This window comes from Homo sapiens, chromosome 9, assembly GCF_000001405.40.
Source record: "Homo sapiens chromosome 9, GRCh38.p14 Primary Assembly".
NCBI lineage: Eukaryota > Metazoa > Chordata > Mammalia > Primates > Hominidae > Homo > Homo sapiens.
In genome coordinates this window covers 20,850,735-20,876,712 of record NC_000009.12, presented here as the reverse complement: position 1 = coordinate 20,876,712, position 25,978 = coordinate 20,850,735, and the positions used below count along the sequence as shown (strand labels likewise).

Here is a 25,978-nt window from a genome sequence, read left to right as displayed (position 1 = left end):
AAAGGGACACTTTTTATACTTCTCTAATAATCAACGAAAAAATGTCCATGGTGACAGTTTGCCAACATAGCATCTAGATCACCCACCTCACTCAAATTACTAAATTTTCTCAAACAAATACAGTTGTCGATCTCAACTCTTCCCCTTCTTTCTCAGTCGAAGGCACTGAGAACCACCAAGGACAAACAATGTAGAAGATCCAGGTAATAGCCATCATAGCACTGCACATTCTGTACTGAGAAGACAAACAACAGCACCCCTTGGCAACAAATATTCCCCCACTTCTCTTTCTAACACCAGAGACTGTGATGGGGGATACATGTACAAGTGAAAAAAAAATCATTTAAAAAGCCCCAAAGGACTTCTGACTCTAGGTTATTTCAGGTTAAAGAAAGAACTTTGGATAACTGAAGGCTTTTTCCTTCCTTGGACTCATGTTAACTTCAGGGAGGCCTTAGACTCTGAAAAGCTAAGAGGTAGGAAGTGGGGAAGAACAGAAGAGAGGAAGAGTGAACAAGTCTTTGAGGCTTCTTTCTAGATATCAGGAGAAGAGAAAAGGTGATCTCTTTGTCTAACTTGGCCATTCAGTTTTCTCTAATAAAAGGAGGCAGGGAACTGTAAAAGGAGCTTTGTCTAGAAATAAATAGTATATATTTGGCTGAATTTCACAGGAATTTCCATGTGGGATGAAACCAGAGGAAAAAACTTCCAACATTACAGGCTAGTATGGTTATGACTGAGAAAATAACATGACCTTTCTTGTTTTGATTGAACTTCATTTCCAGAAATTAAATTTTTATATCCACGAACATTCAAAGTAGAATTGTAACAAAACTAAGCAAGATGTTGTCTAATATAGAAAAGCTACTTAATCACAATAAATCACTTGAGGAATTTGTAAATAACTTTTTAATGATCAGAAAATAACATTCAAAATAAAATAATGTAAGTTCCTAATCACAGTCCACAATCAAACATATTTTTCAAATGGTATCGTCTACCATTTCTTGGGTAGGGCATATAGTAATAGGGGCAAGTGAGTACTTCTAAACACAATATACATATAGAATAATTACCACATATAAGCATTAGAATACTTTTTTTTTTTTTTGAGACACCTAGGCTGTCACCTAGGCTGTCACCTAGGCTGGAATGCAGTGGCATGATCCCAGCTCCCTGCAACCTCCACCTCCCAGCTTCAAGTGATTCTTGTGCCTCAGCCACCCAAATAGCTGGAACTACAGCATGCACCACCACACCAGGCTAATTTTGTATTTAACTCCTGACCTCAAGCAATCTGCCTCTCTCAGCCTCCCAAAGTGTTGGGATTACAGGCGTGAGCCATCATACCCAGCCTACTTTTTAAAAGATAAAGGCCCTATAAGCTTTACATCAAAGCTGAATGACCATACAATTTGATCCATCTTTTAAAAGCATTAATTTATAGCTCTGAAATAAATATCAGTAACATCTTTGGCATAACTCTATAGAAAGAATAAATGTATAATAATGAAACTACTCAGTAAATCTCTGAATAGTCTAATGATCTTTTCACTTGGCTTATGTAAGAAAGAAGTATTGTTTAAATCAATGACCTAGAGTACCAGTGCAAATTCATCTTGTGGAATACATTTAGCCTTTTAAATGAATTTTAATTATCAGTGAACACAATTGTTTACACTAGTTTTCTTGTTCAATCCTACTCAGATGTAACGTTTTTTCGTATGATTTAAACACCATACTACCTCAAGCTGTTTCAATAGAACAGATGGGTGCATTTAACATTCTGGTTAAAAAATAAGCACATAAGGTTAAACTATACTATGTACCTATCACAAAAGAATACAATCAGACAAATCGAACCACTAAAAAATGCTAGCTTCTCTACTACCAAATAGGAGTCACCTGGTAAAACCAAAGGGGGAGTGAGTGACAACAGTTTGAGATAGCAAGAGCCAGGAACTGAAAGATCCACATCCTCAACATCTTCATCGTCATCTAACTCTTCAGGAATGGGAATTTCTGGTCTTATCTGAAATGATAAGCGAAAAGATCATAGAGAGGATAATAATAAAACATTATGCAAAATCTTTTCTGTATCCTTTTTTGTGACAAGATTTTAAAATTTTGTTAGACTCCATCACTCTATAACATAAAAGACCACTGAAATTAATTTTTTAAAAATCTATTCATTTTTTAGATTAACTAAATGGTCATGACTCTAGTCATCTTATTAGATACAATCTCAGATCTGTATAAAAAGCTTATGTTAATACAGTAAATCACTGTAAGCCAGTATAAGCAATGATTATTATAGAAAACTAATAAAATTCTATACCATCCAAAAATAAAATGCAAACACTGACATACTCAATATATTTAACTTCTATAGCTCATAGTTAGATATTTGCCTTGTCTGAACACTTTTTAAAAAATTTGTGATTCTAGTCATATGTCCATGACAGAGCTTAAAATCTTCCAGTAGAATATACAGTAGAGCTCAGGGAACAACAGAATGCTTTAGTTGACTTCTTTTTTTTTAAGACTTGGCAGTTTGTTGCTGTGGAATACAAAAACACTAAAATCTGTAATTGGTAGCTGTACATTATTGTGTCTAATTTGCATTTTGAGGATTTTTGTGGCTGCTCTTTGATTAGTTAGGTTTGTTTGAACCAAAAATTAAAAATGTAAAAAGATTTCCACATTGTTTTCACAAGATATAACTGTTAAGCAATTAATTACATTTTTAATACCTTCAATGACACTCTATCATAATGTCCACATGGAGATAATTAAGCATTAGGGGAGGAAATCAAAATATATAAAAGTGGTTTCTATAACCATAAAGTGCCAGAATCCAGTCATCACCATTAGCCTGTATCCCAGAGTTATTTTTAGAAATAATTAACAATTCCTGCAGACTGCCTTCTTCATAGGTCCCCAAAGCACTGTTCCATTTAGGAAGTGCACTGACTCAGGATTCTTGCAGGGGGGTAGAAGAAACAGAAAAGAAATGCTTCTCTTAAGAATAATAATGTCAACTCCAATGAAGCCTTTCAACCATAACTAGTGTTCTCTTCACTAGTGAAGGAGAAGTGAAAGCAACCTGACTACCCGAGCACTGTCCAAGACAAGATTTAATTCAGATTCAGTATTAAGTACCTAATTCTCAGAGGGCGGAATCAGCCATACTTACAGAGATAACTATCAGGTATACTCTAGATAGGGTATGAAAGCGTCTGTCGAAATCACTGCATATCAGAGAAACTCTGGCATGTTCGCAAACCTTTTGATTCTGACCAGGAGGGTTTTTCAAGTGTCTAGTCTGTGTGCATACTCACAGTCTTCCAGGTTTACTCTCCTTGAGAGTTGTCTTAAAGATTCTAAACAATCCTAGTGGCCTAAAAAGTCCTGAGAAAGAAGTTGGTTCTGAGTTCTTCTGCCTTGCTTCCTGACATTTTACACATCATAGTAACGTGGCAAAACAAAAAAATAGAGTTACTACATGGCCTAGGAGTTTCACTCCTAGGTATATAACCAAGAGAAATGAAAATATATGATCATGCAAAAGCTTGCATACAAATGTTCATAGAATTATTATTTATAATAGCCTCAAAACATTCATGCAGCCCAAACGTTCATCAATTGATGGAATATATAAACAAAATATAGTATAAATCCATACCATGAAATATTATCCAGCCATAAAAAGGAATAAAGTACAAATACATGCTACACATGAAAGAATCTTGAAAACACTAAGATAAGTGAAGAAAGCCCATCACAAAAGACCACATCCTGTATGCTTCCATTTATAGGAAAGGTCCAGAATAAGCAAACTTACAGAGGCAGAAAGCAGATTAGTGGTTGCTTAGGTCTTGGAGAGGGAATGGAGTAATGGAGACTGACTGCTGAGAGAGTTTCTTTCAGGGGGGAAAATGTTCTAAAATTAGATTGTGGTTGCTCTGTGATTAGTTGCACAATTGTTTCAATATACTAAAACCACTAAATTGCATACTTTAAAGGGTAAGTTGTACAGTATATGAATCATATGTCAATAAAGCAAGCAAGCAAGCAAGAAAGAAAAGAAAAGAGAAAAGAAAGGAAGGAAGGAAGGAGCTATGGAGGGAGAGAGGGAGGGAGGAAGGTATGTAGGCATGCAGAAGAGGAGGAGGGGGAGGGGAAGAGGAGGGGAGTAGAATGAAAAGAGTAAGGGGGGGTGGGGAGTCGGGGAAAAGTCACTGCCACCACCAGAGGAACCTTAAAGTGCTGTGCAAACTATGTCAAATGACCAAATGCTTCCAGAATTATTTAGTATAAAAGGGATATGATCATTTCTGTACAACTTTTATCCTATCCTCCTATCCTGTCCTTCTGTGCAGTCAACCTAATTACTTAATACAAGTCACTGCACCTGGGTCATCAATATTTTTAAGAGCCACTAAAGAAAGATTGCGGATAAAGCAAACTGACCAACCCATCAATCTTAAATTGTCTAATTTCATATTCACGTAACTGTGTGCTATATTAATTTATCTTCTATGCAGTGAATAGCATATGTCTGCATCTCAAATGTGCATAAATTTTAGCAAAGAAATTACAAATGTATTATAATTTAAGAATAGATTATATACTATATGTATTTATAATGGTATGATCACTCCTTCAATTTTGTTTTCTAATAGGTGAGCTGATTCTCCTGGACAAATTAGCACTTATTATTTATTACATTTTGGTTCCATTAAATTTCCTTTCTCCTCTGATCACTTCTTTTTTTTTTAATTTTTTTTATTTTATTATTATTATTATACTTTAAGTTTTAGGGTACATGTGCACAATGTGCAGGTTAGTTACATATGTATACATGTGCCATGCTGGTGTGCTGCACCCATTAACTCGTCATTTAGCATTAGGTATATCTCCTAATGCTACCCCTCCCCCCACCCCCCACCCCACAACAGTCCCCAGAGTGTGATGTTCTCCTTCCTGTGTCCACGTGTTCTCATTGTTCAATTCCCACCTATGAGTGAGAACATGCGGTGTTTGGTTTTTTTTTTTAAATTTTTTATTTCCATAGGTTATTTGGGAACAGGTGGTGTTTGGTTACATGAGTAAGTTCTTTACTCCTCTGGTCACTTCTTAAAAGAATTATTTGTTCTACCTTCCCTAGGCTACTACCAGTCTTTCCCCCTGGTTGTGTGCAACAATTTAATAAGGTCAATGCGAGTAAAACTATAGAGAATCAAGAGAACTCAGTTGAAAGAATTCCTGTTAAGGTTATAAAATTTTGGCAATAATATTATATTAGCTGCTAAAACACTCAGAAAAATAAAACTGCATATGTATCTATTAGGTTGGCGCAAAAGAAAAAAACTGCAATTACTTTTGTGCCAACCTACTAAAACACACACACACCCCACCAACAAAAACGACCTGCCTATTATAACTAAGCTTTGTTAAAAAACTTAAATGGAAAGTCAAAAATGATAATTTACTTTGTTTTTTTTTTGAGACAGAGTCTTGCTCTGTTGCCTGGGCTGGAGTGTAGTGGCATGCTCTCAGCTCACTGCAACCTCCACCTCCAGGGTTCAAGCAATTCTCCTACCTCAGCCTCCCGAGTAGCTGGGATTACAGGCCCCGCACCACCACTCCCGGCTAGTTCTTGTATTTTTAGTTGAGAGGGGGTTTCACCTTGCTGGCCAGGCTGGTCTCAAACTCCTGACCTCTAGTGATCTGCCTGCCTTGGCCTCCCAAAGTGCTGGGATTACAGGTGTAAGCCACCACACTCAGCTGATAATTTACTTTTAAAACTTGCTTCAAATTGAATATAGATACTCCTTGATTCATGATGGGGGTTATGTCCCAATAAACCCATCGTAGGTTGAAAATGTCAGAAGACAAAAATACATTTAACACACTTAACCTATCAAACATCATAGCTTAGCCTAACATACCTTAAGTGTGCTCAGAACACTTACATTAGCCTACAGATGGGCAGAAACATCTGGTAACACAGAACACTATAGAATATCAGTTGTTTACCCTTGTGATTCAGTGTGATTGGGAGCTGCGATCTGATGCTGTTGCCTAGCATCACAAGAGAGTGGTTTACCACATATCTTAGCCTAGCCTGAGAAAAGATCAAAATTCAAAATTCGAAGTACCATTTCTACCTAATATGTATCACTTTTGCACCATCATAAAGTTGAAAAATCGTTAAGTCCAACCATCGTAGTTGGGGACCATCTGTACTGGAAAGTGTATCCCACAAAATGCCTCACTGTGGGTTCTGAGCCGGATAACCTTTCAATCAACTTTCTGTGTCTGTAACCTATGGAAATCCAAGAGTTTGTGCATAAACAGAGAATTTTATTTGGAACATGTCAAGTATCTGCATAAATTATTCAGTTAAAAAGAGAAACAGCTTCTGATGAATGCAGTGACATTCACTTTAAATCAAAGCCAAACGGGTTACACCATATTTATACCAACCCTGAATGCATAATCAGTTCTTTTATATTATTTCTAAAATTAACCCTAGAAATCAAGAAAACAAGTTTAATTTTTAAATAGGTGAATGTTTTTTAATGAAACCAAGTCAGAGAGAAAAGTCAGTATCTTCTACCTAAATGTTTATCCATTACTGATTCTTTTAACAAGGAAACTTCTCCATAGTTTTTTTGTTTGTTTTTTCTTTTGGGGAGGTGTGCTAAAGAAGACAGGGGAAGTGTAACTAGCTTTTATAAAATCAGAAAAAATAAAAGCTAAAAGGGAAAAATCATTCTTATCTATCTTTCAACATGACAATCAACATGTCCTCAAAGAAGTCCCCTGAAATTTTGGAACCAATTTTAGATCTGTGTGCTTTAAGTGATTAACAATGATCCTGTTACAAACCAACAAAATATATGCATTCAGTCAACATCCTCAGCTCTTCAGATCGGACCTAGCACTTAGTATATACCAAATAAATTATTATTAAACCAATGCAAGTATTACATGTCCATCACCTCTAATCCCACAGAAATTCTTAATAACAAATGACAAGAAAGATGAATTCATCAACATGGTATTCAAATTCTTAACTCATATTATTGTATCTCATTCAGCTCTACCATCTATCCAGTACATTACCTTAAATGTACTGTTTCATTCAACCCTAAATCTTTGTTCTGATATCTGCCAATCCTCTTACTCTTTTTGTTCTACCAGTCTGTTAACTTTCAACAAGTTATACAACATAAATTGATGTTCAGCAATCAACAAGAAATATTTAAGTAAATTTAAAGAAAATCAGTACTTTAAAAAGTAGCTGAATTATAATTCACAAAGTAGCCACATTTGTAAGGATATCTTATATATATATATTTTTTAGCTCTACTTGAAATTCACAATGGGCTCAAAAGTTTATTCCACCGGTTTCCATAGGTAAGAAGAGAGAATATGGACACACTTTCACTGGAAAAATAGGTAACCTTAAGTCTTGTGTGTAAACCAATTGCCCTTAGTGCAGAGTAATGTCTGTCAACAAAGAAGAATCTTAGTTTTTACATTACAGAAGTCTCACTTGACAGGAACTTCCAAAACATTTGAAAATACATTTTTATAGAAAAATGAGCTGCAGTTTCACATCACTGTTTTATAGTGTCACATCTACAAAACTAAGGTGAAGCACCGACCAGGCTGTATGTTTGGGAACTTGTTTGGGATATGAACACATTGAACACTTTCTGGACTTTTAGTCTTTAGGTGTTCGAACAGCCAAACTGAAATGTAGCAATCAATGAAAAGAAGAAGAATGCATGGTGTGGTCTTAGAAGCAATGATTCTCCATAAAGAGATAGGTCCTCAGTATCAGAAGCTGGGGTCAGAGTGAGGAAGACTCTTTCAAACCACTTACACCCCTCATCTCAACCTCAGTTCAGAATATCCACTGCAGTGAGCTATTGTTACTTTTTGGAATGGGTCATATCCCAGAAGGGGATTAGGGCAAGAAAAAAAAAAAGCTGAAAAGCATAGCTACAAAAGGATACGCCTTATAGCTTTCCTTTATAGCTCTTTCCACTCTGATGCTGAAAACCCAAACATATATAGAAAACCCCAACTCTAAGTACGTTTACCATTTATGTTGGAAGATATAAAGAGCTATTTATGGCTATTCAGGGATCAAAGAGTTTAGAAGAGTTAGATTAAGGAAGTAGCTAACACTTGGCTGAGTATAGCACTTATAAATTCTTGCAAACATAATTGGAAATTGAATATAAATCCAAAATCAGAAAAAAAATATAAGCATGTCAATATTTTAAAAAGTAGAGACTAAATGTCAAGAGTATGCTGGAGTTATTTAATAAAAGCTATTACTCAAGCTGGAATATTTTAGGAATGAAAGGTAAAAATAAGGGTAATTTTTATGCTGTGATTTAAATGAATAATTGCCTATTAAAAACAAGAATAAAAGGTGCCTCTCCAGATGCTGTAGCTAATCTATTGGCAGGTGTTTGCATATGAAATTTACATGTAGCTTTTTTCCTTTTTCTTTCCTGTTTTAAAGCAACAATGGGTATTGCTGGTCATCATAATGCAGTCTGAAGTCCCATCTTTTTTAATTGTATGAGTCATAACACATCTTTACCTAAGTTTTCCCATTTGTGATCACTGCATGACAAGCGGTCAATCTATCTTTGTAAGTCCTCAATGACACAGGAAATCCTGCCTGCCTTAGGAATTGGTTTTACAACAGCCTATTTTCAATCCTTTTTATATCGTGGCTCCAATTCAATTCAGTAAACAGAAATTTGCCTGGTTCCTACTGGCATCTAATCTCAGTATAAACGCAATCCAGAAGAAAAAGGCAAACCCATTTTAATGCCTGAGGATCCCAAGGAATTCACACCAAACCTTCTTGCCACGTAACTTCAAAGACAGATTCTGAGTAATGTTACACGTAACTTCATCTAACACAATGTCTGCTTGACACTTCAGAGGCACTCAATAAACATCTGTATGCATTTGAATTCATAGTGGCACTAAATAAGAAATCAGATATTTAACCCCTTAATAGGATCTACTAATTTAAAGCTGATTATAATAGGCAGATACTAGAAGAGGTTATATGTTTTTAGTTTAGTCTAAAAACTAAGATAATATACAATCATGTCATCTGCAAACAGGGACAATTTGACTTCCTCTTTTCCTAACTGAATATCACACTATGTGTTAACTCTTAAAAGATAGTGATACTTTCTCCATCCAGTTTTCTGGAGCTACCTATATACCATTCACAGATACTAAAAAAAAGCAGATTTTTTCATATGGCATCCCATTGTTTATCACAAATAGAGATCTTTGGCTGCACAGGTGCTATAAAATCTTAGTCTATGAAGGCCATGCTTGGATTAAAGTCCAGGATGGCATACTAATTAGGCAAAGTGATCCCTATGAGTGACTCAGATCTGGAGCAAGCCATATACCCAGTCACCTTAAGAAGATTTCATTTGCATCATAGGTGTCTTCCATCTGCTTCAAACCTCTACAGTCTTTTACATATAAACAAATAATGGGTATGAATTTGTATCTTGCATGGACAACAGATCTAGGGTTATGTATATATTCATCAGGTAAGTATCTCCTAAGATGAGAGAGAAAAAGTTGTAAACCCTAGCAAATTAAGAAATACCAGTGAGAAAGCAGATATGCCTACCTTTTCAGGCAGATGAAGAATGGTGTGTTCTCCTGCACTAAAGTTGGCCAGGGATCTATATGCAGCATTTGCTACAATTGGGTCCTAGATAGGGTAAAAAAAAAAAAAAAAAAAAAAAAAAAAAGCAAGCAAACAAAAAAACACAACATGCATTAAACATCAAATCTGGAGGGGGAAAGAAACCTTCCCTCACCAATCCCAAAGTTCTACAGTCAGTGCTTTGAAAATGGTATTAAAGCTTTGCCTAGCTAAAAGGATATTTACTAGCAATTTCAAAAGAGAGATCGAGAAATTTAATCCTCGTTTCAAAACAAAATATTGCAAAAAAAAGTGAAAGGGTCTGTGAAGGGAAGTAAGAACAACTGGAAAAAATTATCAGCATTAAACATTTTTCTGGAGAATATGCCCAATTAAAAATGGGCAAGGAGATCAAAAATACTAAATTTTTATCCTAGTTTGAACATTAAATATAAAGTAACTCATAATTGCTCAAGTCTCCATGAAGTAGTATGATTTAGCAGAAGGAGAACAAGGAGTTACTGTCTGATAGGCCTAGGTTTGGATTCCGATTCTCCACCTATTAATAGGGCAAGTTAGCCTTTTTGGAATCTAAGCTCATTCATCCATGAGTTAGGTATAACATCACCAGCAGTCTCTATATATAATCCTTGATTGGAAACAACATCTAAAAAATGGACTGGACTTTTTGTTTGTTTGGTATGCTTGTTGGTGGGGAAGGGGCAAAGCAGGAAAGGGGAAAGACCATATAAAAATATAAGATAATATCAACAGTTCCTCTTCCCATCTGTCAGATTCACCAAGTATTAAGTGCACTTTATGGTAAAAATGTATTAATGGGCATAAATTGAGCATAATTTTTAAAACCAAAACTTATGAATAATCACACTTTTTTTAAAAATTGGGAACCCATTATTTCAAGGCAGTTGTACTTTTTATCCTAAGAGTCTTATTTTACAAATGTCAAAATTATTTCCTTAGCTTTGTTCTGATTCACTGACAAGCCTTGTGATAGTACCTTGTTTTGAGTATGAGTCCAGAGGAAGCTGAGGACTTGAACTTTAAAATTCTGAAAAGTTAACATACAAAAGAATAAATTGTTAAGACCAAGCTAAAACTGAGACTAAATAATCCAAAGTAGCAAATAATGAAAATTAAGTCACTTTTAAAGTAACACCACCAGAAATTCACTTAATGTGTATTCACCCATCATTCATAAAATGTAAATATTCAGAAACAAACTCATCCTCTAAGCACATGGATATTTTAAACACATTAAGATTTTAAGATAATGAAATTTAGAAACCTAACCATTTCTTACTCTTAGTCCCTTCAAGTACTAACAGAAATGTCACTCTTTCATGCCACTGTTCTAGCCTACCCAGAAGAGAGTTTTCCTTTCTCCATGTGGCCATACGGCACATGGTACACCTCCACATCTAGCATGACTAACTCACTCGAGGTTGTACAATACTTAAGGCAGTGACTGCGTTTTTTTCATTTCAAAGACCTAAACCACAGAGCCCACACAGTTCCTCAAAGATGACAAATGTGTAATAAATAATTGATTAAGCATAAAAGCCATTTACCTTCCAACAGTCGGTGGTCTTCTTCATTGCCACCACATCTAACTTTTTGCCCCTCTAAATCATATTAGGTTCCTCTATACCTCCTTGCCTTTGCATATTCTAGTCCCCAAACTTCAATGGGAAGCAACAGTATATTAATTCTTCCAGTTCCAAGTCCAATAGCACAAATAATTTCCTTGGATTCTTGCTAAGAGTGTTTGTCATTTTCTCTACCACACTCTCATTGCCCTTTAATTAACTGTGCTCATCAAATGTTACTATAATTATCATCACTCACATCTATCTCCTTTACCTACCTTTGAGCTTCTAGAAGGCAGGGACTGATAACATGGTATAATGCGAAAACAAAGGATATGAAACTAGAAAGTCCTGGATTCAGACATCAGCTTTCACTTAGCTTTTTAACTACAGTCTTGGTCAAGTTACTTGCCTAGAACATAGCAGATACTCATAAATATTTGTCAAATAAATAGGCCTCTCAAAGGTTTAGTTTCTGTAACAATACAATAAAAAATGATACCTTCCTATCAGAGATTAGAACTAATTGGTATAAACTAGTAAGAGTGATGGGGATTGAATAGGTACTCAAAAATAGGGTTGACTATATTTATTAGTATCTCTAAGACCTAGCGCAGTTTTAATAAATATATTCTGATTCAATGAATAAGTGAAGCAAGCACTGTGCAAAGCAATTCAGAAAATACACTATAATTAAATCATGGACTCCATTTTCAATAAGCCTATAGTTGAATGGGGAAAATAATATATGCATACATATACCTGTAGTATAAAATAGAATAAACGTTCTTAGAACAGTATAAAGAACTTTGGGAACAAAAGACTCCAGCTTGCAGACAAACTCTCAAAGGATGGGATGAGTTAAAACAATCCTTTTCTTCCTAAAATATATTTTTAAATTAAAGAGGAAAAAGAAAGTAATTTTAGATAGAGGGAATAATATGAACAAAGGAAAAGAAATGGAAAAGTTTGGAGGAAGGAAAAGTTTGAAGGACACTGTAAGTGGTTTGGTTTTATTGGAGTGCAGCATACAGACCACTAATGAGGCCAGATTCCAGAATGCTTTATGGACTTGTTGTAAACAGGTTGGACTACATTTTAGGGAAACTTAAGCTAATGAAGTTACTAGGGATAGAAATGACTTAAGAAGCACTCTGGGAAAAATTAAATTCAACTTTGGCTCACATCCAGACAAATTCTAAGTAGTTAAAAAACCAATTATCTAAACACACACAGATGAAAGTGGGAGGAGGAAGGAGGGTCTCTCCCTTCTACATTTCTTCACTTCTGCTTTTAAGGGGACTATGTTCACTGAAGAGACTCCCCCTAACTGGGCAGGAAGAGATAGAGAGAACGGCCCCAAAGCAGTCCGTCTGAACAACAGAGGAACCCTAGTATAAGATACCAAAGGAAAAGAATGTAAAATCTGGAAGAAAAAAAAATCTGGTCCAAAAGATAATTCACAACCATGGATAAGCCAACACAAAAAACCAACACACCAGCCAATTCATAAATTAACCTGTAATAAAATCTGATTAACTCAAGGTACAAGCAATACAAAAGATATATGATTTTAGCCTCTGAAGACAGAAAGTAAATATACCCAATATGGCCTTACATTGGCTTTTAGTCTTAGCTCATTATCAGTAGCCCTGTGGACTCTCTGACAATATAAGAGCAAGTGCCTGTGAACTGCAGCCATAAGAAAGAATGTTGGTGAACTGTATACTCACAGTCACAAATTGATTCTTTTTTTAAGACCCTAAAAAAAGGCTACATGTAAGAATAAACTAAAATATTCTGTATCGATTCAATCATTCATTCAACAACTACTTACTACATATAGATTATGCACCAGGTACTGTGATAGGTATTGTATAGCCCAGTAAGGATAAATTTGATTTTATTCATTGTGCAGCATTTAGAATGAGTTGAAGTATCTTCTAAGCCTGTCTCAGTCAGATGATCTAAAACATATAAAGGACTATTATTGGAATCTGATGGCTGGAGTGGCAGTTTATCAAAGTCTGTGAAGGACTAAATCAAACTAGAAGTTTACCAAGACTGCAAGTGAAAATCAACTGCTGCTCTTTGAAGGAAAAGGAAAAATGGTAAGCATGAAAAAAAAAAAGTATGGCTTACAAATGTAGAGGCATAAATGTAATTCACTACCCTCTCATGCATTTCACTCAAAGAAGAGATAATTAAGAAAATATTAAGCAGTAATATATGAATCTTACAAAAAAGAATCTTCCACCAAGTATTTCAACTCATTACAATGACAAACACTGAGTAATTCACAAAGTTTGGAGAGTCTGTCCTGCCTTTATTAATGTCTTTGTGGCTTATTTTTTAGAACTTAAAACATTAACAAAATGATTTTTAATGGTTGGCTTTATGAATTCTATTATTTTGGAAACACTAGTTTTACAATATTGACTTTAAAATCTTGACAATACTCTCATAATTAAAAGTTGGTATCCTTTATGTAAATACATTTTAGACATAAGATTGATGAGGAGCTATCTTACTCCTAAGAGTCCATAAACATATCAACATGGTCTCAGAACAACAACAACAACAACAACAGATTAGGAATATTTATTCCAAAAGTTATTATAACACACATCTTTCCCATGAAGAAGCAGGCAATGTGCTGAGCTCCAAATGCATACCTCATATTCAGTTGTATTGACCGTTAAGGAAGGAACTAGAGAAAATAGTTCACTCAGTGTCTTCAGAATGAGAGGTCTTGTGTCACAACTCAGCTTTGGAGAGAGAGCATTCCAAGTGGAGCGAATGCAAACAACCTGTGAAGCAAATAGAAAAGGTCAACACCTAACAAGACTCCAACCTATATGAAGCCATTAATTAAGAGTACTATATTTTATTATAAGGAAACTTAAGAAACAAATAAGACTATGCCTAGAAGATAGGACTTAATAAGGTACCACCCCTCAAATGAAATAACTTAAACCAGTGTAAACTGTTGAAGTTATGCCTGCCTCACACAATTGCTTTTTTACTACTTCGTTTTTAGTTAACCAAGTAAATAACTCTCTCCTAAGCACACAAGCTCTCACTCCCACCGACACACACAAAATTAACTCCAGATTATCTAGCTATATGCATTGTTGAAGAATCAGCCCCTGAAACAAAGCAGGTAAGATAATGCTAGCCCATTTCTAAAGCCAGGTATCCACATTTTTTAGTTTTTCAGCCCTGTTGAAACAATATCACCACTCAGAAAATTGGAGTATTAATATATATAAATCAAACATTCTCAAATCACCTTACAAGCTTTTCAGAGGTAGGAGAATAACTACAGTATTTAACATAATAATTTAAGATGTCTTAAAAGTTAATTCCGGTTTTTTAAGAGGTCATTAATGATAAAATAAATCTAAAGCCCAGCAAAAATGTTGTATCATTTCTAACTTGACCCAATTTTCTTAAACCAAGTGTTCTTCATTCAATATCTGGTTTTATGGGTAGTCAAATATCTTCTTAAGTTCAATTCCAGCTAACACTGATGATTTTTTCACTGATAGATGTTTTATGAAAATGTTAAGACTCAGATAGGAAGAATGCAAACACAGATCAATTAGATAGTCTTTAATAAGAATTAATCTTTCTAAAATATTCCAATCTCTTCTTTTAAGCTGTAATTAACACATACAATTTATCTCTACCTACAAATATAAATTATTTAGAAAAACTACATAAGGTAGTAAATGAAAAATGTCAAAGATAAATGAGTAATATATACTTAAGGAGACAGATTAAGAAGAGGCTCAAAGGAAAGACAGTAGACAGAGTATTTCTGAGAAAACTTGGATTCAGTGCATTTGCTCTTACTTTATACTTCCTGTGAAACAGTAGAATAATAAATGCTCTTTGATTTGGGATCCCCTACATGATTTGGGTTCAACTAACCTTTCCTAAGGGCAGTATTGTAGACCAGGCATGACAGTAGGCACATTTACACAAAGAAGTAACTCTGATATTATAAATCATCAGCATTTGAAATAAAACCCAAACCAATTCTCTAAAAGCTATCAATTCAGCACAACTGCATACCCAGAGTGGTACATAATACTCACAGAAACAACAAAATATAAAGATGATCTAATCCTTCAAAAACTTGACACCTTATTGTAAAGGAAGAAAAAGATACATCACTCTAAATTATTGGAAACAAAAAGGTATATGATATGACTTTAAACTATTTCAACAGAAAATAGTTTCAAGAGGAATCTATGGAGGATAATAAGTCAATGGGTAGGAGTCATCAGGGAAGGTATCAAGAGATGATAAGACCTGAGAAGAGATTTGAAGAAAGAATGAACAGAAATCACACAGCCATGCCACAAGAAAATGGAAAGCAAAAGTCAAACAAAAAACAACATGTTATAGGTACAAAAAGCACAAGTATTGGTGGGGAAAGGCTGGTAGATCACAGCATACTTAGAATATCAAAGCAGTTGGAACCAAATCTAAAAGAAAAGGTAGGCTTTAGAGATTTCAAGTTAAGAAATACAAAACAATTTAAAAGCTATTCTTAAAAGATTCATTTGGGCCTGGCGTGGTGGCTCACGCCTGTAATCCCAGCACTTTGGGAGGCCGAGGTGGGTGGATCACTTAAGGTCAGGAGTTCGAGACCAGCCTGGCCAACACAGTGAAACCCTGTCTCTACTAAAAGTATAAAAATTAGCCAGGCGTGGAGGCATATGCCCCAGCCACGCACAAAAATCGCTTGAAACCAGGAGGCGGAGGTTGCAGTGGGCTGGGACAGCGCCTCTGCACTCGAGCCTGGGCTACAGAGTGAGACTCTGTCTCAAAAACAACAACAAAAACAAAACAAAACAAACAAAGAAAACAGTGCATAACAGGGACAAAGGCCAAGAGACTGAGGAACTAATAAGAGAGCTTTGCACTATTCTCAAACAATTAAAGTCTCCTAGGGCAGAAGAAAAGGCCATGACTGTAAGGCTTCCCCAGCCACATGGAACTGTAAGTCCAATTAAACCTCTTTCTTTTGTAAATTGCGCAGTCTTGGGTATGTTTTTATCAGCAGTATGAAAATGGGCTAATACAGAAACGTGACAACGAAATGCAATATGGGATCCTGGAACAGAAAAAGGACATTTTTAAACACACATGTCCATAATTCAGTTAACAGCACTGCACCAATATTAATTTCCTAGTTTCAATAACTGTATTATAGTTATATAAGCAAGATGTTAATATTAGGGGAAGAAGGGTGAAAAAACACGAAATAATGATCTATTTTCTCTTTTAACAACAGCTCTTTTGATATATAATTCAACTACCATACAATTCCTCATGTAAAGTGTACAATTCACTGGTTTTTGGTATACTTACAAAGCCACACAACCATCACATTCAAGTTTGGAACATTTTTATCACCTCCTCCCAAAAAAACTCATAATCATTCATCATTCTTGATTGTCCCCTAAGCTCCTCAAATCTAGGCAACCACAAATCTACTTTCTGTCTCTATAAATTTGCCTATTCCAGGCATTTCCTATAAATAGAATAATATAACATGTGCTCTTTGGTGTCTAGCTTCTATCAGTTATCGTACCTTTTCCAAGGTTCATCGATGTTGTAGTATGTGTTAGTGCTCACTTCTTTTTATATATATATATAATATATATATTATATATATAATACTCCATTCTATATATATATGCTTTAAACTTTTCCATAAGTTTAAATAATTTCAAAATAAATTTTTTTAAAGAATAGAAAAAAAAACACTAGTCAAAAAAGTAATGGCTAAGAATTTCCAAAATTAATAAAAGACATTAATTCTCTAACTTAACTTGTAATACAAATAAGCTTATATCTAAATACATTATAATATGACCATTAAACACCAAAGACAAAACAACAATCTTCAAAGTTAAAGGGAAAAAATACAGACTACCTGCAAAGGAACAATTGAGAATAATATTTTCTTTCTTTCTTTTTTTTTTTTTTGAGATGGAGTTTCACTCTTGTTGCCTGACTGGAATTCAGTGGTGCAATCTTGGCTCACTGCAACCTCCACCTCCCAGGTTCAAGCAATTCTCCTGCCTCAGCCTCCCAAGTAGCTGGAATTACAGGCATGCACCACCACACCCAGATAATGTTTTTTTAATTTGGATTTAGTAGAGACGGGGTTTCACCATGTTAGTCAGACTCATCTCAAACTCCTGACCTCAGGTGACCCACCCACGTCGGCCTCCCGAAGTGCTGGGATTACAGGCATGAGCCACCATGCCCAGCCAACATTTTTAAAATTAAGACAAAGAGACCATACAATAAGATCTTAAAAGTGCTGAGGAGCAAATGAAATATTCTCAAGGACAGACTATATGATAGACCACAAAACAAGTCTAAAAAAATTTATAAAAATGGAAATCATATCAAGTATCTTTCCTGACCACAATGGAATAAAACTAGAAATCAGTAACAGGAAGAATTTTGGAAACTATACAAACATATGGAAATTAAACAACATGCTCCTGAAAGACCAGTCAATGAAGAAATTAAAAAGCAAAGTGAAAAATTCCTTGAAACAAATGAAGAACACAAACATACCAAAACATATGGGATACAGCAAAAGCAGTACTAAGAGGAAAGTTGATACCAATAAAGTGCTTACATCAATAAAGTAGAAAAACTTCAAACAAACCACCTAACAATACATCTTAAATAACTAGAAAAGAGCAAATCAAACCCAAAATTAGTAGAACAAAAGAAATAAAGATCAGAGCAGAAATAAACGAACACTGAAAAGCAACAAAAAGATTAATGAAATGAAAAGTTGGTTTCTTGAAAAGATGAGTAAAATCAACAAACCTTTGGCCAGACTAAGAAAAAAAGAGAGAACATTCAAATAAATAAAATCAGAGATGAAAAAGGGGACATTACAAAAAACATTCACAAAATACAATACCACAAAAATTCAAAGGATCATTAGAGAAGATTATGAGCAACTATCGACAATAAATTGGAAAACCCAGAAGAAACAGATAAATTCTTAGACACATATGGCCTACCAAGATTTAATGAAAAAAAGAAATCCAAAGCCTTAATCGGCCAATAAAAAGTAGTGAGATTGCAGCCATAACAAAGTTTCCCATCAATAAAAGCCAATAATCTGATGGCTTCATTGCTGATTTCTACCAAACATTTAAAGAAGAACTAATATCGATCCTACTCAAATTATTCCAAAAAATAGAAGAGGAGGAAATACTTCCAAATTCATTCTATGAGGCCATTATCACCCTGATACCAAAACCAGACAAAGATATAACAAAAAAAAGAGAACTACAGGCCAATATCTCTGACAAACATAGATGTGAAACGTCAACAAAATGCCACCACAACAAATTCAACAATACATTAAAAAGATTGTTTCTCGTGATCAAGTAGGATTCATCCCAGGGATGCAAGGATGGTTCAACATATGCAAATCAATCAATGCAATATGTTATATCAGAATGAAGGACAAAGACCATATGATCATTTCAACTGATGCTGAAAAAGAACTCAATAAAATTCAACATCACTTCATGATAAAAAAAAAAACTCAAAAAAAAAAAAACTGGGTATAGAAAGAACATACCTTAACACAATAAAAGCCATATAAGACAGATCAACAGCTAGTAGAATACTGAATGGGGAAAACTGAAAGTTTTTCCATTAAGATATGGAACAAGACAAGAATACCCACATTCACCATTATTCAACATAATACAGAAAATCCTAGCTACAGCAATCAAGCAAAAGAAAGAAAGGGCATCCCAATAGGAAAAAAATAAGTAAAATTATTTTTCTTTCCAAATGATATGATCTCATATTTAGAAAAACCTAGAGACTCTACCAAAACAAAATTAGGACCATTAAACTCAGGAAAGTCACAGAATACAAAATTAACATTCAAAAATCAGTAGCATTTCTATATGCCAACAATGGACAATCTGAAAAAGAAACCAAGAAAGGAATTCCATTTACAATATCTACACATAAAATAAAATACATAGGAATAAACTTAACCAAAGAAATGAGAGATCTCTACAATGAAAACTATGAAACATTGATGAAGGAAAATGAAGAGGACACACAGAAAAAACAAATTGAAAGATATTCCATGTTCATAAATTGGAAGAATCAATATTGTTAAAATGTCCACATTACTTAAAGCAATCTATAGATTCAATGCAATCCCTATCAAAATAACAATTACATTCTTCACAGAAACAGAAAACATAATGCTAAAATTTATACAGAAACATAAAGACCCAGTATAAGGAAAACCATCCTGAGTAAAAACAACAAAATTGCAGGAATCACATTATCTGATTTCAAGTTATACTACTAGAGCTATAGTAACCAAAACAGCATGGTATTGGCATAAAAACAGACACATAGACCAATAGAACAGAATAGAGAATGCAGAAATAAATCCACATATCTGCAGTGAACTCATTTTTGACAAAGGTGCCAAGAACATACACTGGGAAAGGACAGTCTTCAATAAATGGGTCTGGGAAAACTGGATAACCATATGCAGAAGAATGAAACTTGACCCCTATCTCTCACCATACATAAAAATCAAATCAAAATGGATTAAAGACTTAAATCTAACACCTGAAAGGATGAAACTACTATAAGAAAACATTGGGGAAACATTCTAGGACATAAGTCTGGACAAAGATTTCTTGAGTAATACCTCCAAAGTACAGACAATCAAAGCAAAAATGGACAAACAGGATCACACATCAAACTAAAAAGCTCTGCACAGCAAAGGAAACAATCAACAAAGCGAGGAGACAACCCACAGAATAAGAGAAAATATTTGCAAACTATAAATTTGACAAGGAATTAATAACTAGAATAAAAATGGAGCTCAAACAACTCAATAAGAAATAATCTAACAATCCACTCAAAAAATGGGCAAAACATCTGAATAGATATTTATCAATAGAAGACATGAATGGTTAGCAGGTACATGAAAAATGCTCAACGTCATCAGAGAAATGCAAATTAAAACTACAATGAGATATTATCTCACCACAGTTAAAATGCTTTTTATCCAAATGACGGGCAATAATGAATGCTGGTGAGAATGTGGAGAAAGGGGAACCCTCGTACACTGTTGGTAGGAATGTAAATTAGTACAGCCACTATGGAGAAGACTATGGAGTTTTCTCAAAAAAATTAAAAATAGAACTGCCATATGATCCAGCAGTCCCACTGCTGAATATATAAATATATCCAAAAGAAAGGAAATCAGTACATCAAAGAGATATCTGCATTCCCATGTTTACTGCAGCACTATTCACAATAGCCAAGATTTGGAAGCAACCTAAGTGTCCATCAACAGATGAATGAATAAAGAAAATGTGGTATAGACACACAATGGAATATTATTTAACCATAAAAAAGAATGAAATCCTATCATTTGCAACAACATAGATGGAACTGGAGGACATTATGGTAAGTGAAATAAACCAGGAAAAGAAAGACAAATGTTTCATGTTCTCATATGTGGAAGTGTTAAAAAAAAAAAAAAAAAAGAATATAGGGGTAAAATGATGGTTAACAGAGGCTGCAAAGGGTGGCAAGGAGCTGGGGAATACAGCAGAAATGATTAATGGGTACAAAAATACAGTGAGAATAAGGGCTAGCATTTGATAGAATAGAGTGACAACAGTTAACAATAATTTATTTTATATTTTCAAATAACTAAGAGACTATAATTGAAATGTTTCAAACACAGATAAATGATAATGCTTGAGGTGATGGATACCCCAGTTATCCTGATTTGATCATTACACAGTTTGACTATATCAAAACATCACATGTATCCCATAAATATATACAACTATTATGTACTCATAACTAAATTTTTTTAATTTTAAATATTGAAAATGATAAAAATTAAAAAACAATTTACTTATTCAGAGACAAGGAAAAAACACTTAACATGGCTTTCAAGGTTTTTCATGATCTGCCTTCCATCTATTCCTCCAGTCTCATCTCTTCTGCTAGTTCCTTGACATATTTATTTAATAACTATTATTCATATTTAATGTTAGAAAAATAAGGAAAAGGAATATATACATTTTATTTACCCATGTATCACCATTTTAAACCACTATTTCTTATACATGGGAAAGTTTTAATAAATAAATGTAAAATTATAATGATGAAATAACTTTTCCTATGAGAATTTTTACCATATAACTCAATTAAATTTGTTAGACTATAGTTTTTATGGTTTAATGCTTGCATTCTTCCAGATATAACATTTTTTCCTTTTAAATTAAAAAAAGCTGTCTATTGCCATTCTTTGTAAAGCACATTCAAGTTTAACTTAAAATAAATATTAATTTAATTCTGTGAAAATTAGTTGAATTATTAAAAATGCAAATCAATGGGTATGCAGTGGTTTTTAGATTAGGAATTTAAAAAGTGCTAAGGAAACTGCCAGCCTACAATGCTAAATCTACCATTGAATAGTAGGGGCAAAACATGTAATCAATCAATCAATCATGAGGGATAATACCTAGAAATCATCCACATATAGCATACGAATATTTATGTACGAATGACTCAGAATGTTCTGCTTAGTCTGTCTATAAGATACTGAAGAATTCATCTCAGCCTAAGTGTTTATGTTATGCATACTTTGTTGCTGGGGGAGAATGATACTTTTCCCATGTCATTCTTCCGCAAGAATCTTACCAATTTCCCATGTTATTCTTCCACAAGAATCTTACCAACACTAAACAGTACAGATTAAAGAAGACCTTATGCAGTGTGGTAGGCTGGGAAGAGCACGTTTTAAAGTCAGAAATCCAGGTCTCTGATTTGGTAGCTGTGTGACTATGGTGAAGTCATTAATTTCCCTCAAACTCTTTCCCCAGCTGCAAAATGGAAATAATACTAGTAACACCTGCTCTATGTACAGCACAAGGTTACCAGTAAAGCCCATATGGAGACAACTGTACACCTACTTTATACACTGAAAAATATAGTTATTGTTGTTATAACCAACAGAAAAAAAAATAGTGAACCTCAGAAGAATCAGAGCCTTTCCTTCTAATTCCTGTGCTGTAAAAATGACTTTGTTCTTTTGCAGAGGAACAGAGAGCTATCTCCTAATTTTACTTTCAAAAGCTATTTCTAGAAATTCCTGAGAACAGCCTACTCCTTTTGTCCTGATTCTTTACTCCAACAGAGGAAAGCTTTATAAAAAACCTTTAGGCTATGAAAACTGCCTTATTTGCCCTTTTCATAATGAAGGCAAAAGAAACTGCCTTCACAATTAAAGGACTCAAGTCATCATCACGCAGTGAAGCCCTCTTAAGCTAATTCAGCACACACAATTCATAAAACAGGATGCTTCTGTTACCAAAACACAATAACGGGATAAGAGAGATTTTGAAGAGACACAATCAATGGAGCAGAAACAATGAGAAAAATAACATTCTTTCTTATCCTAATAATATAGGGTTAGGGGTTGTTAAGTATTTTAAAAAATGACTAGCACAGGTTTATTTAAGCAATTTCACAGCCTTTTAATGTCTGAGACTAGTTTATTATCAAGGCAGCATTGTAGGGAAAAAAGAAACAAACAGATATAGATATTGAGGTACCTTTTTAAAACTCACTTATAATCTAAATGACAGTAATTCTGATGATTTTCTAACATAGTTGAACAACTTTTGTCCTGTTCATGGCAAAGAATATAGATGAACATATCTAAATCCCAAACTATGCCTTAGAGAATCAAAAATATTTGGACTTGTAGTAAAGCTACTCTCATATTAACAACCCGTAACATCACCATGACATTTCCAAAAGAGGTGTAACAGAGACTTTTTAAATTATTCTGTATTTCTGAAAAACTATTTGGCACTTTGTAGTACATACTTATAATTCTAATATCTGAATAGAACAGGTTTAGAATTGTGTGACACAAGTAAAAACAGAGACATTTATTAAACAGATTGATCTAGACTATGAAGCCACCCAAGAGACTCACTACTCAACAGCCAGAGACGTTAGGTTTCTTTTTTATTCCCCCTAGTGAGAAATTACAGGTGCCTAGGATACTTCCACAAGGAACAGTATCTTCCAATGCAAATTCCATTGATTTCTCTGCAGGAACAGAAAGAATGACACAAAGAACTCCCTATAGGGACATTCACTTTTCAGTTTTGCTAGATTCTGTCTGTATGAGTTATCTATTTTTTGGTGGACATTCTTCCAGGATGAACTAGCAAATTCATAGGAAGAATATGTCAAAAAATTCCTTGACAAGAAAATGATTAGTGCTTTATTCCCCCACAATAATCAGAGGAAATTTTTTTCTAATGGTCACTCCTTCCTCTTTTCTAATAGAGGTTAGACTCCAAGATAATAAAGGAAAATAACAGAAATTAAATCAACATAGCTTAAAACTCAATAAATCGAACTACTGGGAAGTTGTTCAACAGATACAAAATTAAAAGTAAAGCAAATTGAGTATTTACTAGCAAAAAGAATAAAAATATCATCCATCTAAATGTTAAAAAGGGCTAAAGAGGCTGTAAGTGTACTGTAGAAAGAGACTGAGAAATACAGTTTACTGTCATTTCATATTTAAGAATCAATATGCTGTGTATCAAAAAAATTGATGAATTAGGCAGTCAATTCAGAAACACTAAGACCACTTTAGAGAAAAACTTTAAACTTCAAAGATAAAGTTTTTAGGAATACCTCTTGAGTTTAGTCCACTTTACAAAGATAGAATTCCACGAATGCATTTCTAAGTAACCAATGTTGAGAGTTCCTGAAACATAACCTGATTACACGTTCAATGAAAATGATTCTTCTATCCTCCCACCCCCACCCTATGTATCCACAGATCTGGGGATAACAGAACTGATGAATTCTTCATGGATAAACAATAGGGAAAATCAGTCTTTTAAGCCTGAGTGGCTCACACAACTAACTACAACTCCCTAATAACAAGGAACAAACATGCCTGTGGTCCCTTTTCATAGAAACAAACAAGTTCCTTCTTAGGAAAATCAAGACTAAAGACAAAACCTATAATCTACAAGTTCAACAAAGAAAAAGGAAACTTTTTAGTAAAACTTCTTAGGAATTACTTTGCTCTTCAGTGCTAGAAAGCTAGTGATTCACAACAAAAATGGTTCCCCCAAAGCAAGGTTTAAACAAGGATAAACAAGATTTTTCCACCCAAACAAAAGCAGCATCTAGCACAGTGCTTGGCATAAAAAAGCACTCATCTCAAAACAAATTTATAAATACATGGTGGTAACTGACCTATCACCAGCTAGGACAGGGCAGGGCACATTTTCTGTCAAGGGCCAGAGAATTAATATTTTAGGTTTCAAGGGCCACATGGTCACTATTACAACTACTCAGTTCTACCACTGTAGCAAGAAAGCAGCCATGGACAATACATAAACAAATGAGCATGGTTGTGCTCCAATAAAACTTTACTTACAAAAAAAGGTAGTGGGCTGGATTGGAAGAGTCAGCCATGGTTTGCCAACTCCTGAACTAGACTATGTGATTATTAACTGGATACAGCTTAGCAATTAGATTAGACCAATGCTTCTTTAACTTTAATGTACACTTGAATACCCTGTGGTGAAAGGATCTCATCACACTACAGATTCTAACTCAGTAGGTCTAGAGTAGAGCCTGAGATTCTCGTTTCAAGCTGCCAGGTGACACAGAAGCTGCTAGTTATAAAACCATACTTTCAGTTACCAGATATTAGACTTTATTAGTGAATTTACTTTAAAATTTCAAAACGGGTAGGAAATTAGAAATGTGACAGCAATAAGCCCTGGATTTGACTTGAATTGTTCCAATATCAGGAATTCTGATGTGTTGCTGCCATAAAGCAGTCAAATTCACAATGAATTCCAAAGTTTAACCTTCCGCACTGCTCTTCCACTTAAAAGAGGCATGAAGATAAAAGTCAGAACATTTATGCAGATATCTGGTTTTAGAAACAGGGACATCATATTTTCTAATCCCTTTCTTTACAGATAAAGACGCTAGATGGAAAAAAATTTTAATATACCAATGGATCTAAATAATAACACCCCCCCACCCCACGAAAAAAAAAAAACCAAAACTCTTTCATGGTTTTCAACTTTATTTGAAGGTGGTAACTTTTGAAATTATTCCTACAAAATATGCAAAGGAATAAGTTTTCACTAGAGATAGACAAGACAAACCCTGACACTTAAACCAACTTAAGGTTATCTAATATTTTCATAAGACTAATTATTTATCTTCTTTATTGTTCAGTTCAAGAAATGTGAACTGAGCAACTGCTATGTACCAGGTACTAAGCTGGACGCTTTGCAGGAGGAGGTCAGTTGCTAAAACATACTTTCTATCTTCGAGGACCTTAGCATCAGGTAGTAGAGACTGATACATAAACATGCATTACAAAACCTTGTGTTAAGAGAAACTGCAGAAGTTTCATACTAGATATAGAGGGGGAAATTACCTGGTTAAGGAAGAGAGCAGAGATCAGAAAGGAGTTCCTGGAGGAAATAATATTAAAGAGCAATTATGTACCAGATGCTCTGTTGTGTCT

General features: G+C 34.5%; 1 protein-coding gene across 19 annotated transcripts in view; it reads right to left on the bottom strand.

The window, feature by feature from the left end:
• Window positions 1-25,978, bottom strand: part of FOCAD (focadhesin) — a 340,326-nt gene that overhangs the window by 119,238 nt on the left and 195,110 nt on the right. For all 19 annotated transcript variants that reach the window (XM_047423537.1, XM_047423539.1, NM_017794.5 and 16 more), the window contains 4 exons: window positions 14,001-14,135; window positions 10,737-10,787; window positions 9,701-9,784; window positions 1,906-2,032 (listed from right to left, as the gene is read on the bottom strand). In XM_047423537.1, coding sequence (XP_047279493.1) covers window positions 1,906-2,032; window positions 9,701-9,784; window positions 10,737-10,787; window positions 14,001-14,135 — 397 coding nt within the window. The remainder of the gene's footprint in view (window positions 1-1,905; window positions 2,033-9,700; window positions 9,785-10,736; window positions 10,788-14,000; window positions 14,136-25,978) is intronic.